The sequence below is a fragment of the Homo sapiens genome, chromosome 2 (genome assembly GCF_000001405.40).
Source record: "Homo sapiens chromosome 2, GRCh38.p14 Primary Assembly".
NCBI classification, from domain to species: domain Eukaryota; kingdom Metazoa; phylum Chordata; class Mammalia; order Primates; family Hominidae; genus Homo; species Homo sapiens.
In genome coordinates this window covers 114550188-114568254 of record NC_000002.12, presented here as the reverse complement: position 1 = coordinate 114568254, position 18067 = coordinate 114550188, and the positions used below count along the sequence as shown (strand labels likewise).

The window sequence follows — 18067 nt, the reverse complement described above, 5'->3', positions numbered from 1 at the left end:
CCCTGACTTGATCATCATACATTCTATGCATGCAACACTCACATGTGCCCCCATAAATATATAAAATAGTGTGTATCAATAAAAGAAAAAAAACTATGGGGAAGGCCTTTTCATTACATTAGTGAAGCAGTATGGCCTATGCTCAAATCTAGACTGAACCACTTACCAGTTACCCAATTTTGGACACTTTTTTTTTTTTTTTTTTACAGTATCTCTCTCTCTCTTTTTTTTTAATTTTAAGTTCCAGGGTACATGTGCAGGATGTACAGGTTGTTACATAGGTAAGCATCTGTCATAGTGGTTTGCTGCACCGATCAACCCATCACTTAAGTATTAAGCCCAGCATGCATTAGCTATTTTTCCTGATGTTCTCCCTTCCTCCAGTCCCCGACCTCCCACAGGCCCCAGTGTGTGTTGTTCCCGTTCCTGTGTCCGTGAGTTCTCATTGTTCAGTGCCCATTCTGAGGGAAAACATGCAGTGTTTGGTTTTCTGTTACCACCTTAGTTTGCTGAGGATAATGCCTTCCAGCTCTGGACACATTCTTTTAACTTTCATGGGCATATTGATTTCTTATTGAGGTTGTAACAAATTACTACTAATGTAGAAACCAATATGCCAATATGCTACTACAAATGTAGTAGCTTTAAAAAATGTAATTTTATTATGTCACAGGCTGGTGACTCTAGGAAAGAATCTGTTTCCTTACCTTTTCCAGCTTCTAGATGCCTCATACGTTCCTTGGCTTATGGCCCCTTGCTTCATCTTCAAAATCAGCAATGTAGCCTCTCCTCTGCTCTCTGACTTCTTGCCTCCCTCTTAAAACAACCCTTATGATTATATCAGTCCCACCAGAATAACTCCCTATCTCCCCAGGATAATCTCCCCATATTCTAATCTCCAACTAAGGAAAAAAGATCCTTACTTTGATCACATCTGCAAAATCCCTTTGCAGATGTGAGATTTGTAAGACAGCATACTCACAGCTTCAGAGGATTTCAACAAGGTCATCTTTAGGGGGCTATTATTCTGTCTACCAAGATAGATAAGCCAAAAAAATTGTACCTGCCTCATAAGGGTGTTTATAAGAAATACAAGTAAAATACTAAGAATAGTTCCTATTCATTTAGTGATCTCAGCCGTTAACACCTACTGTCTGGAGCCAGCTGTTGGAGGATGGGAGATAGGAAGGAGGGAGCCTGGAGTGGAGTATGGTAGTCAGAGGCAAGGGTTGTGCTGAAGCTCTCTCAGCCCACTCTGGTGCTGTAATGAACCAACGTTTGGCATTAGGGAAATCAGTCACATAATTTTTGATGCTTCTGAGTATGAAGATACTGATGCCATGATAATGCCAGGGCAGAATTTAAGAGGTTGGAGGGATCTTACAAATCTAACCTAAATTTCTAAATTTTGTACAGAAGAAATCTGCCTCAGCTCCAGAGGAAAACTTGTCCAAGGACACATGTTTGGTTGAGGAAGAGCTGGGATGAAGACCCAGGACTCTAGACCACCTGCCTGGTGTTCTTCCTGCTGTGTGTGACTCACTTAAGGGAGACTTGGTGGCCTAACAAGTATTTGCCAACTGCCTTTCAACTGCTACCTGGTACACGGAAATAGCATTCAATCAGAATTAAAAATAAAACTTAACACCTAAGTTTAAAATGGACTTTCCTGAATATAATTTTGTATTATGGATTAGATCTTGGAACAGAAAAAGGACATTAGTGGAGAAACCAGCAGGATCATAATTTAGTTGGTTTCTCCGTTTTGACAAATACACCATGATAACGCAAAATGCTAATGAAAAGAAGATGTCGAGGAGCATGTGAGAACTCTCTGCACTCTCTTTGCAACTTTCTTGCACATATAAAATTATTTCTACATACAAATTTATTTTTTTAAATGTGATCATTTCTTTTTCTGTGATAATGCCTCATTATTTTAAACAGTGTTTTTCACTGTGTAGTAAAATATCCTGGCACAGTCGTTAATATGGCTGAGCTCCTTTGCTCTTGCTGGTCCCTGAGCCCAGAATGTTCTTCCTGACAGTGGCATGGTTTGCTCAGTGAATTGTCTCCCAAGCAGGCTATCTAAAGACAAGAGATAAGGAAAAAACGCTTCTGATAATTGAACCTGAACCCCTGAAAATTGTGTCTCCCTCGCCTGCTTTCTCTTTCTCTTTAGTATTCATGGCTACTGAACACAGAGTCCATTTCTCATATGTCTGAATTATAGACATCCACCCCCATAAGGGTAAAGATATTTTATTTTTATCTGTTTTGTTCATTGCAGTATTTCTAGTAACCAGAATAGTGTCTGGAACACAGAGGGAGGTACTTAATAATATACATTGAATGAATGAATGAATGAATGAATGAATCTATTCTATGAGTTAAGTGTCCATGTGTGCCTAGCACTGCACCTGACCCATAGCAGACACTTAGCAAATATCCACTTTAAATACAAGGAATCTGTGGCACAAGAAGAGTAAATTATAACACCAGGAAGTCACGTAGTTTATAGGTGGCAGGTCTGAGATAAGAAGACAAGCCTCCTGGGGATAGGAATTTATTTAGCACATCACATTTCTTCATGCAGAGGTCCACACCAGGACAGAAGTATGCTGCGCTGTGTGCCTCACCCCAGTTTCCATGTCTGTTTTCACTCCTCCAAGGGAAGCATGGCTGAGTTCACTAAATAATCTGCGAAGTACAGAGGAGAAATGTGTTGTGTTGTTGGCTTCCTAATGGCCGTTGGTGCTAAGCTTGACTAAAATCCATTTCAAGAAGCCTTATCCAGAGAGTAGCTTGTCACCATGACTCAATAAGAATGCTTTAAGTGCTTGGGACAAAAAGAAAGAACAGATCAGGTGGGCAATGTGGTAAGACAAAGCCATTACTCCATTCTTTCCCACTTAATCAATCCAATCCAATAGGTATTTGCTGAGGACTTATTTCATGTCACGCACTATACCAGGCATTTTGAGGCCTAAAAGAGAAGCCCAGCAGCTGTTGTGCAAAAGAAAATACAAGAGCTAATGCTCTAGTCCACTAAGGCTAAGGAGATAGTGACAGAGTTCCTGTCTTGGCAGAACAGGAACACAGCCAGGATTAGCCCTTCTTGAACCAGAGGCTCACAGCCATTCTTGCTATAACCTCCATCACGAGGCCCCACTGAGCTTAGAGGAGGCTTACACTTGACATTTGCTTGTATATTGCTTATATAACTCATTCCAGGCCTCTGCAGTGTTCCCTGAAGGCAATAAGAGCATCCTTAGTCCACACCACTCTAAGTGATTGAAATTAAATAAAATTATTAATGGATGAAAGGAGACAAAACTTTTCTGGTGAGTGAAGATCTTTAAATCTCTCTCTTCTTTCATTATAATTTCAAAAACAAAACAAACAGTGCACCACAGCCTGAGAGCAGTAGACTCCTTGTACCAGTTTATCAATGGTTGGAACAGAAATCGTTCCTGAGATATTCTTTCTCCTTCCCTGCTTTGCCTTTTGTCTTTCTTTTCATTCATCTTCCTTCACTCATCTACCTCATTTCTCCCCAATTTTTTTTCCTTTTCTCCTCTATTTTCCTTTCCCTTATGTCTACTATGTATAAGATACTATTAATACCTTGGTACCAGTGGAAAACCCAGGACTTCAGAGAAAAAACCTTTTCCCTCAGTGGTTGATTTATTAACTTAAAACTTTTATGAAGGCCTGTGATCTGCCGGGTACCTTATATCATGGAATATATAGTTTCTAAATAACCTTAGTTGTTAATGAGAATCAATATGAAATAGGGGGAAGAGTAGGTGCTTTGCCATCAGACAACCATGGTCTTGAGTCTTTCTCCTCTGCTATGGTCTTAGTGAGCTTGGAAATTATTTCCTTCATAAGCTAAATGAAGATATATATTTACGTTTCTGCTTGGTTAGATAATTATATAAAATAGGACATATATAGCAACTTAGCCTTGTGTAGAGAAGGGGCCTAGTGAATAGTCTCTGTTGACAGAATTCAAACCAAAAAATTTATGCTTTAATTGTGGAGATGAGATGCAAGAAGTATTCATAAAATTACACCTCCCATTAGAATATCATTTGAATACCATTAGAATATCATTAGAATACCTCTTTTACTCCGCACAGGACAGCGTTGGATCCATTTGATACACTTGGAAAAAATGGAGCACAAAGGAATCGATTGCTGGAAGGCGAAGGAGGACATTGTGGCCAACCCAGCCCTTGATACTTCACACCCATTCTCCTGCTATCCCAGCGGGTGAGCTGCGAGCTCCATCCCAGAAATTAGCAAAATGACAGAGGAAAGCTTCAAGAATGCAACATGCAAGAGGCAGATGAGCAGAGGACAGAGAGATGGTGTAATGTCAGTTGGACACCGGGAAAGGTGAGGGTGACCAAGACACATTTCTTTTCCTCACTTTGTGCCTTTGTCTTTCCTACAGGCTAACGCTCACACTTGCTTGTTTAGCTTCTGGCCTCCTGAAGTGTGCTGCAAACCAACTTTAAAAAAAATGGAGCCAATGCACATGCCTAAGAAAAACCACTTCATCTCCTTAGGAAGCAATGCAGTAAGAGTTGGGTTTGTTCATCTTAATCATTTTGTGGCTGTATTGTTAACTTGAGGGAGTAAATAGCAGATGTCAATAGAATATTGTTTACATGTGCTTATTCCTCTAAGAATTATTTTTCAATGATAAATAGAACGGTAGATGTATCACTTAAATTCCAGGAAATTTGGAAAAATTCAAGGCATGCCCATTCCTCGGTCTGTCATTTTGGAAGTCTAGATTCACCCTTCAGCGTAGTCACTCTCTTCATACAGCTAATATTTCACTGAAAGTTTTGGAATTTTTTTTTTTTTTTTGAGATGGAGTCTTGCTCTGTCACCAGGCTGGAGTGCAGTGGCACCATCTCAGTGCACTGCAACCTCTGCCTCCCAGGTTCAAGTGATTCTCTTGTCTCAGCCTTCCAAGTAGCTAGGACTACAGGTGCCGGCCACCATGTCCAGCTAATTTTTGTGTTTTTAGTAAAGATGGGGTTTCACCATGTTGGCCAGGATGGTCTCCATCTCTTGACCTTATGATCCGCCCGCCTTGGCCTCCCAAAGTACTGGGATTACAGGCGTGAGCCACTGCGCCCAGCCAGTTTTATGTGTTCTTAATATGCAAACGTTGAAATTTGAATGAAAAACAGTCATATTAATTGTGATTTAGCACATTTGTTCTTAATAAGCCCTGTAGATGTTATTGCATATTTCTGGGAATTCAACTTAAAAAATGTAATATGATTAAGCTTCCATGGAACAGTTAAAAGTTTTATAAAAATATAGCAGGAAAATAAAGAAAATTCTAAACATACACCAAATTTTCTTTTTTAACATTTTTTCCCTTCACATTAAATCAACTCAATTTGGAAAGGTTACATATACTTAAGCACATGATGTCATATAATAAATCAAGATAAATGGAAAATATATAATTCCTTTTACAGAGTATGATTTTAATACTTAATTCATCTTCTTCTTTTTTGACAGAGAGTTTCAATATGAATCTAAGCTCCAATTCACAATGCACAAACTATAGCTATTTATTACAATGTTGTACCATTTGTCACTTTTATGGAATTCAGTGTACTTTACAGGCTGTAAAATGGGCTAGAGTGATTCAGAAATGATCTATGCCATCATTATTCCTCATTTCTGGTACTTGAATTGCATCTACTTTCCCCAACAGGCTTGATTTATTAAGTAAATAACAATATGTTTCGATAATGTATATCTATTGAGACGTCATTAGCTGCCCAGAAGATGCTATTCTGACTTTAAATAATTGAAACATACCAGTGATGGAGTCCAATGGACTTGAGATGATTGGGTTATAAATATTTACTAAAGCCTAGTGGTGGGAGGAAGATACTTTCAGAATAGACTGGAAATGAAGAGAGACATTCAAATGATGGTAAGTGTTCTTCATAAAAGTCTAAAGATTTAGAGGTTTATTCTCTCAAAATAGAAAAGGTAGCATAGAGTGGAAGGTGAGCAGATTTGTTTATTTTCTTAGAATCTGAAACAGAATTTCCTCCAACTTTCAGCTGACTGCCTTTAAAAAAGTACCTGTAATATTGGTTGAATTCATCAGTAAATAAATTCCCAAGCCAATCCAGTGCTAAGGGCTAAGCCCCATAGTCCAATAAAACAAGACCTAGGGAGTGGAGTTTATCACTCTCCTCAAAATTAACCCGTTATCTTAGTTGAAGTTATTTAACTGCTAAATTAAATGACTGCTGTGCCCTAATTAAACACCTTATAGCTCACTGTCTGTGAAGCACGTATGATGAAATAAGTTTAAATCTGTAGTCAAGAAGTCATGTTCAATGTTGTTTTCGAAGTTTCTAGAATGTTTTGTGTCAGAGGCCATTTATAACAGGTGCAGCTTCAATAGTTTATAAAGATAAACTGACTGAAATTTCTAACATCCCCCAGATGGCATATTTTGGCTGAAAATGCATTTTGAGAAAGAGAATATTTATTTCTTTTCTAAAATAGACTTGGAATTTTTTTCCTTCTAATTGGGAAAAAAAAAAACTGTCTCCCAACTGATGACTAGATGCTAAAGGAGGAGGTGGATTTTTTCTCTAAAAGTAAACCGCAAAGCTCTTTCTAATAGTGAGAGAAGACTCCAAAAAGTGTAAAATAGTTGCTAAAGGAATGACATATCTACAGCAAAAACTTTCTGTATATGTGTGCACATGTATTTGTGGTGTGTCGTGTGTGTATGTGTATGTGGTGTGTACGTGTGTGGGTGTTTATGTGCACATGTGTGCAGATGTATGTGGTATGTGTATGTGGTGTGTGCATGTGTGCTCTATTTTGAGGAAAGGATAATAACATAAAACTTGACAAGGACTAGGGGCATTTATATCACTTTTCTCCTTAAACAAAAAACAAAGAAAAACCCTGTCTTTCTCCTTGTCCAATATCATATGGATAGCAAGAGAGCTAAGATGTCCAGCAACCAACTGAACTAGTAATCTATTTGGAGAGGTCAGACATGTGGATTGCGGATGAGGGCTTAGGAGGGAGTAGGGAGGCAGAGCCTACAGGTCTGTTAAGGAAATATTCCAAACTAAAGGAGCGGACGGAGCTGGTGTGGAGGGACAGGAGACACCCAGGCAGGAGAAAGGGGGTGCTGTGGCTCTCCTCAGAGCTTCCTTAGGATTCCCTGCTGGATGGAGCTGTGAGAACACAAAAGTTCATTTTTAAAAACAAAAACAAAAAGGAAGTTTGAGGTGGGGCTTCTGGTGAATCGTGCCTTTCCCTGAAGCATGAGACTTCTCCCCAAGGAGCCAGCGAAAATGACAACATGAAGTATAGTGAATCAAACATACGCTTGTGGACCCATTTATAGAACCCATTTATTTATTGAACCCATTTATTAGAGGCATGATAGAAGAGCCTGCATTAGCACAGTATGGCACATATTCTTTTCTTCCAGGAGCCCGGGCAGAGTTCTGCACCCTGTAATTGCCTCTCAATGCTGCTTAGTGACTGAGAACTGAGGCTTGTGTGGAGAGGTGGTGAGGGGAGCAGAGTGAGACTGGAAAGTACAGACGCATCATCTGGGGAAGCCTGGCTGGCCTATACCTGGGCCCCACTCTCTCCTCACCCAGGACCAGTGCCAAGCCTGTGTGGCTATAGGGTATGTAAGCCCCATCTTCCTACCAGCAAAGGCCTGACTACCTGACACTGGTCCCCAACTTCTCCCTCACAAATCTTTGGTTTCTGTGGCCTAATATCCTAAGTCCTAATAAGGAGATCCTGGGCATCCAACATGTCTTAGATAAAACACCTGTCCTCAGGAACCATCTTCTCTTTGTTTTGTTTGCTTGCTTGCTTCTTTAATTTTATTTAAAAAAAATTATAGTGGTAAGAAACCTCACATTTATGCAAAGACCTTGAATTCATCTGTGAATGCTTCTCCTCTTCCACTCTGCCCCTCTGCCCTCCTTCTCCTCCCAACTCCCACAGGGCAGTCCATGGTTCACCAATAATAGCTTTTTCATAATGCCAGTCACAATATGGATTAGACAATTTCTAAGGTCAGTTCCATGTTATTCTTAAACTATTGGAACCAAAATTTCCTAAAGTAAAAACCATGATGATAGAATTAAATAAAGTTAGCACTGAAAGAAATCATTCTACAGCATTTGCATATGGCATAGAAGGCAAGTACAGGCTTGGAGAAGCTCCAGGAGTGTGTATCAGAGAAAGACACAACACAGTCATAATTCTCTCTGTCCTTTCCTTCTTCTTTCCTTCCTTTGTTTTTTTTTTTTTTTTTTTTTGCTTTTTTTCTTCTTGCAGTCTATGACAATATCTGTGATTTTCCTGGAAGAAGTTTATTCTTTACCAAATTGGGAGAGGAGTAACTACTCACCCTCAAGGCCCTATCACGTTCATGACCTACTCCAACCACTGATGGTCTTGATGGCCTTCCATGGATCTCTGATCTACCTACTCATGATCCACACAGATTGGTGGGAGAGTCCCACACTCTAGAACTCCCTCTCTGGAGATTCCAGGTGTGTGAATTGGGGAATCTAGCTAATAGGGAACAGGGATGGCGAGAGAGCTAGAGTGGGTAGGGTTCAATGTGAGGAACTAAGTGTATGAGTTTCCTGTTGCTTATGTGACAAATTACCACAAAATTAGTGCTTAAAATGCCACAAATGTATTATCTACAGCTCTGAAGGTCAGAAGTCCAAAATGGATTTCAGTGGGCTAAAATCAAAATGTCACTAAGATTTCATTCCTTCTGGAATCTCTAAGGGGGAATTCATTTCTTTGCCTTTTCTGACTTCTAGGGGTTGTTCACATTCTTTCACTTGTGTCCTCCAGGGAGCAACTGCATCACTCTGACCTCTGCCTCTTCTCAGGTTCTGACCTTCCTGCTTCCCTCATGCGGGGACTCTTGTGATTATATTGTACCTAACAGTACAATCCAGGATAATCCCCCCATTTCAGGATCCTTACCTGAGTCACATCTGCAAAATCCCTTTTCCATACAAGGCAATGTGCACAGGTCCCAGGGACTAGGGTATAGACATCTATGAGGAAGGGGCATTATTCTGCCCACCACACTAAGCTTCGGTATCCTCAGGTGTATGTGGGACATGGGGATGTACTTGAATGTACTTGTACATGGACACGTATGTCGACATGGAGATGTATTTGGACATGGGGATGTACTCGGACATGGAGATATACTTGGGCATGGAGATATACTTGGACATGGAGATGTACTTATGACTATATTGAAATACCCAATACAAATTAATTGGAATCACTCATGGATACCACAAATATTTGTTTAGTATCTGTTATGTGTCAGACATTGTGATGGGAGAGGGAAGAGGTGGAAAAGAGCCCCCAGATGCTTATAGCATGGGAGGAGAATGTGTTGAAGAAGTCAACAAAAGTCTTAAAAATCTTTGAAATTAATATTTAAACATATAATACTCTACAGCACTCACACTTGCCATTTTGTTTAACAAATATTTACTGAGTGTCAGCTGTGTCTGCCATTGGGCTGGGCACTCAGCATAGAGCAGGAAGGATGAAAATTTCTGCTTTAGAGGAGCTTTTTGTTTGATGGAAGAGACACAAAATGAACAAAGTTGAGATAAGTGTCATAAAGAAAATAAAAGGCATGGATGGATTACTTTAAATTGATTGTTCAAAGACTATCTCCTTATGGGGACGGTATTTAAGTTGATGCCAGAAAGACGAGAATGTGCTAACCAACTATGTGTAGGGCCCTGGGAAGGGCTTTGTAGTAGAGAGAGCAGAAAGTGCAAAGGCACTGAGACAAATAAAAACTCGATGCATTCAAGACCAGAAAGAGAGCCCAATTAGTTGGAGGAAAGCTGGGGTAGGAGAGAGTCATGAATTTTGATGACAATTTTTGCTTGGTTTAAAGTGAAACTACCATTCAATCTGAGGACTTCCGAAGACCTCTCAGCCAATCTCAACATGGAGCAATAGCCTGGAGCGCCCGGGCACTCTGTCTTCACTATCAGCTATCACTTCTGGAGGTCAGTAAATACTACATTAGAAGTGTTTATTGTTCTTTGAATGTCTCCAGAGCAGCAAGTACTGCCTAAATGTTTTACTTCCAGTCATCCTCACATAGTTTTTAATTCGCCACCTGGAGTATGGAAGAGATTACTCAGAAAGATGTTCTGTGCCTGATGATAAAATCTAGTGCTGAGGGACATACAGAGGGAGAAGAATGAACATTTGGAAAAAGAATTCAAGACTCCAAAATCAAGATCAAAATACATCCCATGTCAACAACTCTGTGAGAAGATTTGGCTCTGAGATAAGGATCAAATTAGGTGACTATCATGATTGTGGCCTACATGAGCCCCAAATACATCAATTACTTGAAAATTACCCACACTTTTTCCTTTCATTGTTTCAGCTAGTCGCGAGCCGAGCCATTAGAAACAAGACACAGCTGATGTACATATCCATGATAACTTATTTCTTTCTACAGTTGATCAATTTCTACCCACTGAAGACTGAACACTACTCTCCAATCTCTGGACACCTTCCCAGGCAAAAGCACATGACACAAATACTAATGGTTAATAACTGAGGGTACAAACCAAACCCTCACTGCTGGCTTGCCGACTTGTTAACTAGTAGGAGAGGTGAGGATTGCACGAACAAATCCACTCTGAGTCTGCAGCTTTCTGAAGCCATTTATGTGGAAAGATGGCGTGTTGGTCTCCACTTCTCTTTCAATCTGCCTCTTCTATGTCCCGAGTCACAACTATTACATTTTATTAAATGCTTTGTTTCCAATATGCCCCACCTATAGGCTGCAGAGACAGATGGATCATCTGGGGCTGTCAGGAAAGCCACATTTTCCCTGAGAGCAAATGGCTTGCTCACTACCTGTGGGTTAAAGACAAACCATGAGAGCTACAGCCTATCAGCCTCATGAAGAGTCTTCCCCACTCTCGTTCTTGCAAAAGTTCATTGCAGACCAACTAGGGACTACTACTAGAGAGAAAAAGGAAGCCACAGCATTCATCCACACTTTTCTCACCTCTTTATGATTACATATTGTTCTATAATTTATTTTAACTCTTGACTCCAACTAGAGATCCAACAAATAGCACTTTTCTCTACTTCTAAGCAAAATTCTTAAAAAAAAAAAAAAAAAAAAGCTGTCTTTGCTATCTGTTGACACTCCCTAATTTCTATTTTTTCTCCTCACCCCACTCCAGTTGGTTTTGGTCCTCCACCACACTCTTTAAAGGTAATCGGTAACTGTATCCCTTCTCAAGGAAAATGTTTAATTCTCTGTCATCTTACCTTTTCAGCAACATTTCCCATGAATCTAGAATTTTACTATGCTACACTCAGTTTTCTTCCTCTGTCAAAATCCACTCTTTCTTGCCCTCCTTTGCTGGGACTCCATCATCTATTAGACCTCCAAATCTGAAAATGTCCCAGAACTCAGTCTTCAAACCTCTTCTCTATGTATACACTTTCTTTAGTTGCTCTCATCCTCCCCCTAGCTTAAATGCCATTTCACCACTGATGCCTTCCAAATACCAGCCCCACTCCTCAAAACTGTAGTCTCATATCTATTTACTTCACATCCTCATTTGCATACTGTATAAAGTCAAACTGTAAAAGGCTCACACTGAGCTATTTATTTACTTGTGTCCTCCAAATTCCCTCTTCACTACCCACAAAGTCTTCCTTCTCTCTATAAATGGCCCCAACATTCACCCAACTCTTCAGGCCAAACCTAGGGGAAAACCTTAATTTCTCCTTTTCCTTCCCATCCTACAACCAATTCAGTAGTTACGCTGTCAGGTCTACATCTATCTATCTACCTATTTCTATCTATCTATTATCTATTTACTCATCTATCATCTATTATTTGCCTATATATATATATATATATATATATATATATATATGTATCATCTATGTATCACTGTTTCTCCTGCTACAGCCCTAGTTCAAGTCACCACCCTCTCTCTTCTAGACCTCTGTAGCAGCTCCCTCACCCATCTCCCTGCTGCCCTTCTTGTCCCTAAGTTGATGCTCCACCAACTGCCAGAGAGAATCTTCTAAACCTTAAATCAGATCTCTCCAATTCCTTCTGCCATCTCCTTAAAACTTTCCCAGGCTTTTCCCTTGAAACTTGGATGAAATCAAGGCTTGATGATCTGGCTCCTGGCTCTCTCTTCAACCTCTTATCTTCCCATCCATGCCTTCCTGGCCCAAGTGTTCCATCACATAGGATGTTACTTGTGCCTTGAGGATACTATGTTCTTCTTGGGACGTGCTTTATCCAAATCTTTAAGTGGCTCCACCCTCTTAGTATTTGGGTTACAACTACACTTATATATGATGTGCATTGCTCAATAAAGCAATAAGAATGATTACTGTTCCTATATATCAGTTATACATCATTAAATATGAAGTTTATTATACCTATTATAAAAAATTACACTTTAAATATTTTTTCTTTGTCTCTTCTTGCTGAAAGAAGGCTCCCTGTGTATGGGGCTGTTTGGTTTATTCATTAATGAATCCTTTCTGCCTAGAAAAGGGCCTGCAGCATAGAAGGTACTTAATTATCTCTGTTGAATGAATGAACTCAAATATCTATCCCTCAGAGAGACTTTCCCAATCATGCAGGGTAAAGCAACACAAATACCCATACAGTTATTTCTTATCCACATTACATTCTTCATCAGCAACTGAAATGTATTGATTTGCTTTTCTTTATGTGCCTATTTTTTCCTGTCTTCCCCACTACAATATAAGACCCTTGAAGGTGGAGATCTTGCCAGTCTTGTTCACTGCTGAGTCCCTGTTGCTGAAAATGGTGCTTGGCATATGGGAGTAGCTCATTAGACACTTTCAGTCTAACCAATTTTGATGTCCTGCCACAAGCAAGGAGAGTTGACATGTCCAGGAGAAGCCACTTCACACAGTCCAGGGCTGCACACAGAAACACATCACTATTGTATTCTGAGTGTGTACAAGACAGTGTCTATACTCTATACTGTGCTCTGGGTGAGGTAGGGGTTGGCTGAGAGCCTCTGTTCAGTACCCAGCACCAATCCCAGGAAATAGGATAACATGGCTTAAATTGACTTTGGCATTTCTTTTTCAGCATTCTCCCAACCTCGATGCCCAGGTCCATTATGTTTGCTCACTCACTGGCTGGGACCAGCAGCCCGTGGACACTGCTTGTGCTCCTGGCTCTTCCCCTCTTCTCTTTATTAACCTGTATATCTTTGAGTCCATTTTCCTACCTGTAATGCTTTGAGTTGAGGGTGGTAGCAAAGGGATTAATCAGAAAAGCAAATGTCCGTGCATGCTGTTGTATCCAAGGGGGCAGAAGATGTACAAACCATTTAAGGTGCACTGAAAACCTTTGAAGAGTCAAAGTAATTGGAAGGGGCAGATGTTAAAGCCCGGAATGGGCAATAAGGGAGATGTTTTGAGGACATGCCATGTCTCCACTTATTAGATAGTGTGTTCTCTATAAGAAACTGTCCCTACATGTACCTTCCAGGTCAGATTCAGTGTGACAAAGTTGAGGGGTGTAGGGTAGCACTGAGAGCCTCATTTTGATCCCTCACAACCTCATGTCAACTATTGCTACCTTCTCCTCCCACGCGGACTGTTTAAGGTAATAGGTAGGTTATCTTCTATACGATTCTGAAATTTCATACATCATCTGATCACACTGACTTCACAAATGAAAATGAAGGCTAAGGCCCAGAAAGGGGGCAAGACCTGCCCAAGGTGACACAGCCCCAGTGATGAGGCCAGACCAGAACCAGAACTCCTCACAGCCCAGAGCTCAGCTCTTGCCATCCCCTGCACCTGAGCCAAGCGCTGGCATCTTCTATTCAGTCCTCAGTGGATGTTGTTGACATCTTAAGGAGAAAGCCCCTTAAGGTATCTTGATATTTCTGACCTCAGGATGGTTACTAGGGGCTGGGGTGGGTCAGAGAGGAAAGCATGGGATGGAGAGAAAAGAAATAGAGATATAGATCAACCCGGACCCCTTTTAATTACTCAAATCTCCTTTAGCAATTATGGATTCACTAACATCAACTCTCCTATGAAAAGTTGTTCCTGATGATCTCACCCAAGATGGTCTCACATTTTCCTGTTTTCTTTTCTTCCTAGTACATTGGAAATCATCTTATGTATCTTGTCTTGTTATTATCAGTCTTGTCCACTAGAAGCCCAGCTTCAAAAAGATGGAATCTTGTGTGATCTATTGCGCTGATATTTCCAATCCTGAAACAGTGGAAGCTGCTCAGTAAATAGTTGTTGAATTAATTATTGCTGAATAATTCAAAGGTTATGGCATAGGCTTTGAAAGCATGAAATACTAAAATATTTTTTTTTCTTGAACAAACCTATTTATTTGATCCTCTCATACTTCTACTGTTTGAATCAAATAAATCAAATGTTTCTACTGTGGAAAAAAAAATAAAGAAAGCCTCTATTTGAGATAGCTGACAGCCTAAAAGGCTGGTCAATCACTTATAACTTATTTGCTGTCCAGCCTACATTATCACTTTAACTCATCTCTCATAAAATAACAGAAAACTACTGAAAAACCACTCGCCTCTCTTGAATCCCCCTGATGTAAACTCAGAGTGAAAAGGTAAAAATATCGCTCTCCCCAGGGGAAAGTAATCTCACCTTAGTTGTGGTTAGAGGGACAGCATTGTTATTCCCAGGCACTGGAAATCTATCATCTTCAACTTTCCCACCTACCCGGGAACAGACTGTGGTAATAACTCCAAGGAGCTGCGTTTCAACTCCAGCTGTGGATCCAATTTCCACTTATAAGATTTAACCTGGAAATTATCAGTGACAGCAGCAGGGGGAAAATGAACAGCTGATGTGGAAGGTACAGCGGGAGAAGCTGGCCCAGCCTGGCAAGAGGAAGAGACGAATGCCACATAAGGCAGACCGGCATAAAGGATGTCCTTGTGGAAATGAAATGTGATGTACAGCAATTCCAACTGTGAAGCCACCAAACAGCCTATTAACAAATAAATGGCTTGATGTGATTATAGATAAGACAAGTGAAATTAAACAACATCACATGCAATGAAAGCTGCATCTGGGAGCATTGACTGAGAGCTGGTGAGAGGCTTAAGCAGCAAGAGGAGAGGACAACTGAATAATGCTTTGAATGAGGAAATTAAAGGAAAGGTGATAAACAGGAAAAAGTCTATTTAATTGGGGTGCTGATGTGGGAGTCATTAGTCTCCGACTCTAAAATATTAAAGATAAAAACTGAGAATAGAAAGAATGTATAATGGGCAAGGTGCAGTGGCTCACGCCTGTAATTCCAGCACTTTGGGAGGCGAAGGTGGGTGGATCACCTGAGGTCAGGAGTTCGAGACCATCCTGGCCAACATGGTGAAACCCCATCTCTACTAAAAATAAAAAAATTAGCCAGGTGTGTTGGTGGACACTTGTAATCCCAGCTACTCGGGAGGCTGAGGCATGAGAATTGCTTGAACCTGGGAGACGGAGGTTGCAGTGATCCAAGTTGGGGCCACTGCACTGCAACCTGGGCAATAAGAGTAAGACTTGGTCTAAAAAAAAAAGAAAAAGAGAAAGAAAAAAGAATGTATAATGGAAAGTCACAGAGTTTCAGCATCTTTAGCTGTAGGCATTACGTTTATTCCATAATTGTTACTACAACCCTAAGTGCCAGGCACTGTGCTAATTCAGAGAACATTAAAGACACCATGTCTTTTCCCTAAGAGATGAAGATGTGTGAATGGACTAGACAGCCGGAAAATACAGGAGCAAACTTGTAATGGGAATCAATACAAAACTAAACTCTTTGCATTTCAAAAACACAAACCCCTTAGCATCGTATTAATTGCCTTGGCATATATTGTCTCATCCAATCCTCATGACACACTCTGAGCTACGCATCGCTGCCCTACTGCACTGGCAACAAAACTGAGGATCTGAGAGACTTAACACACCACAGAGCTAACAGCTGAAAAAGCTGGGATTTGAATTCAGTGTTTACACCAAAATCCATGTTCCTTCCACTGTACCATGTTGTCTCTGCCGGTACCTAGCCGAAACAACTTCTGGTTAATCTATGACATACACAAGGCTTTCTGCTTCTTGTGCTTTCTGTCTCATTAACGTGGCCCCATTTTACTTTTTCATAGAGTGGGTACCTTTCATGCCTTTTTCTCGTCAGGATCATAAATTCATTTACAATCTAGATAACTGGAAAATTTATGTTTTATTTTTCTCAATAGTATTTGAATGTTAACATGAACTGCAATATAACCTTAAGATCAGAGGGAATTAAAAACTCCAAACAGTAACCAGGTCAGAAACTGGGAAGAAGGGAGGTATTTGAGAGAGGAAAGAAGTCTTTAAAAGCCCTGCACAGATGCCCTACTGATACTCAGTTCAGGAGTAAAGCAAAGGGGTCCACTACAAGGGACCCAATGGACAAGAGAGGCCTCTGATGTAGTAGCATCTTCTAAACTGTGTCAAACCGCAGCCAGCTGTCTCAGGTCTATGGTCTGCAACAGTGTTCATCACTCAGAAGGGTGCTGGCTGAGCTGGAGCTCAGAGGAAACTTCTCTCAGCCTGGAGCCTCACCACAACACTAGGAGGCAGCAAAGTACCTGGGAAAGGAATTCACTTCAATTCACTTTAGCTCTGCAAGTATTTACTATTTGGAGAACACGTGTCATTCTCCTAGAGTTGTAAATATGGTAAAGAAATAAAAATTATAGCCTTGATCACTTGAGAGGATACAACCTCATTGAGAATATAAGAGACATAAATCCACAGTCAAAATTTTCAGGCAGGGGGGCAGCGGGCATGATGGGGACCATTCCAGAGAATGTTGACACTGAGAATATGTTTTAGGAAACAGGGAGAGACCAAAGCGAGCTACACAGTTAAGGAAGGCTTAGTGGACAGGTGGATTTGAATTTTTATAATTGTGATGGTAGAAGTGGGGAGATCATCCTTGATAGCAAGCATGAGTCCAGATGGAGAAATGAGCTTAGAAAAAAATGAGTGTAGTGGAGGATGGATTGCAAGGACACCAGACTGACTCAACAGAGGGGGCTTTGTGGTGTATCTATTATGTGCCAGACCAGGGCTATGGGTTTATAGTCATCATTTAACTTGCTTTTCACAATAGCTGTGCTGTAGGAAGAACTCTGTTTACCTCTATTATAAAAAGCATCTCAGAGATAAGTAACTCGTCTGATCTGAACAGTCAGAGACAAGAATTGAAAGACCATTTGCACCATCCTTCATTCCGTGCCCCCATGATTCAGTTGCAAGTGAGAGAAAGGTAGAAACTGTCCCTAACCTTGAGAGACACACAGGTTGTCTGGGGAAACACAGACAAATTAATCAGTAATTTCAATCTGGTATAATGTGTCACAGAAACCAAGTAAGACAGGGTCTTGTTTTATGAAAGACACTGTGTGGTACTTGAGGTGAATCTGGAAAAACAAACAGAATATGCTCAGGCAAAGAAAGGAGCAAAGGTTGCTTCAAAGTGAGGAAACAGCCTGTGTACAGTGCCAGAGGTGAGGAAGGGTCTGATTCATACAGAGCACTCCACACCAGCAGGTGCCAGGGCTAAAAGCACCGACTCTGCCAGCAGATGTCTGGTCGAAGTCCCAGCCCTGCTCCTTACTGGCTGTGTGACCTTTGGAAAATCACTGAACCTCTCTGTGTCTCAGTTTTCTCCTCTGTAGAGACAATAAAAATACACATCACCCAAGGTTATTTGAGGAGTAAATGATCTAACATTTGTAAAGAACTTAGAACTGTGCCTGGCAAATATGTAATGTGGTGCAACTGGAGTCTTAAAAGCCAGTTAAATCATGGAGAGGGCCCTTTGTCCTATGCTCACACCCTTGGGATTTGTCTTGAGAATGGTGTGGGAATGTTGAGGAAATATAGCAAGAAC

At 40.6% G+C, this 18067-nt stretch overlaps 1 protein-coding gene across 10 annotated transcripts in view, besides 1 other annotated feature; it reads right to left on the bottom strand.

Moving 5' to 3' along the window:
• DPP10 (dipeptidyl peptidase like 10) overlaps window positions 1–18067 on the bottom strand; it is a 1403140-nt gene that overhangs the window by 1277526 nt on the left and 107547 nt on the right. The gene's annotated exons all lie outside the window — the stretch shown is intronic.
• Window positions 13177–13363: a silencer, noted in NCBI's record as "fragment chr2:115312469-115312655 (GRCh37/hg19 assembly coordinates)". NCBI's record gives its function as "represses an EF-1alpha promoter that drives an FKBP-Casp9 reporter gene in an ReSE screen in K562 erythroleukemia cells {active_cell/tissue: K562}" and the evidence as "EXISTENCE:reporter gene assay evidence [ECO:0000049][PMID:32094911]".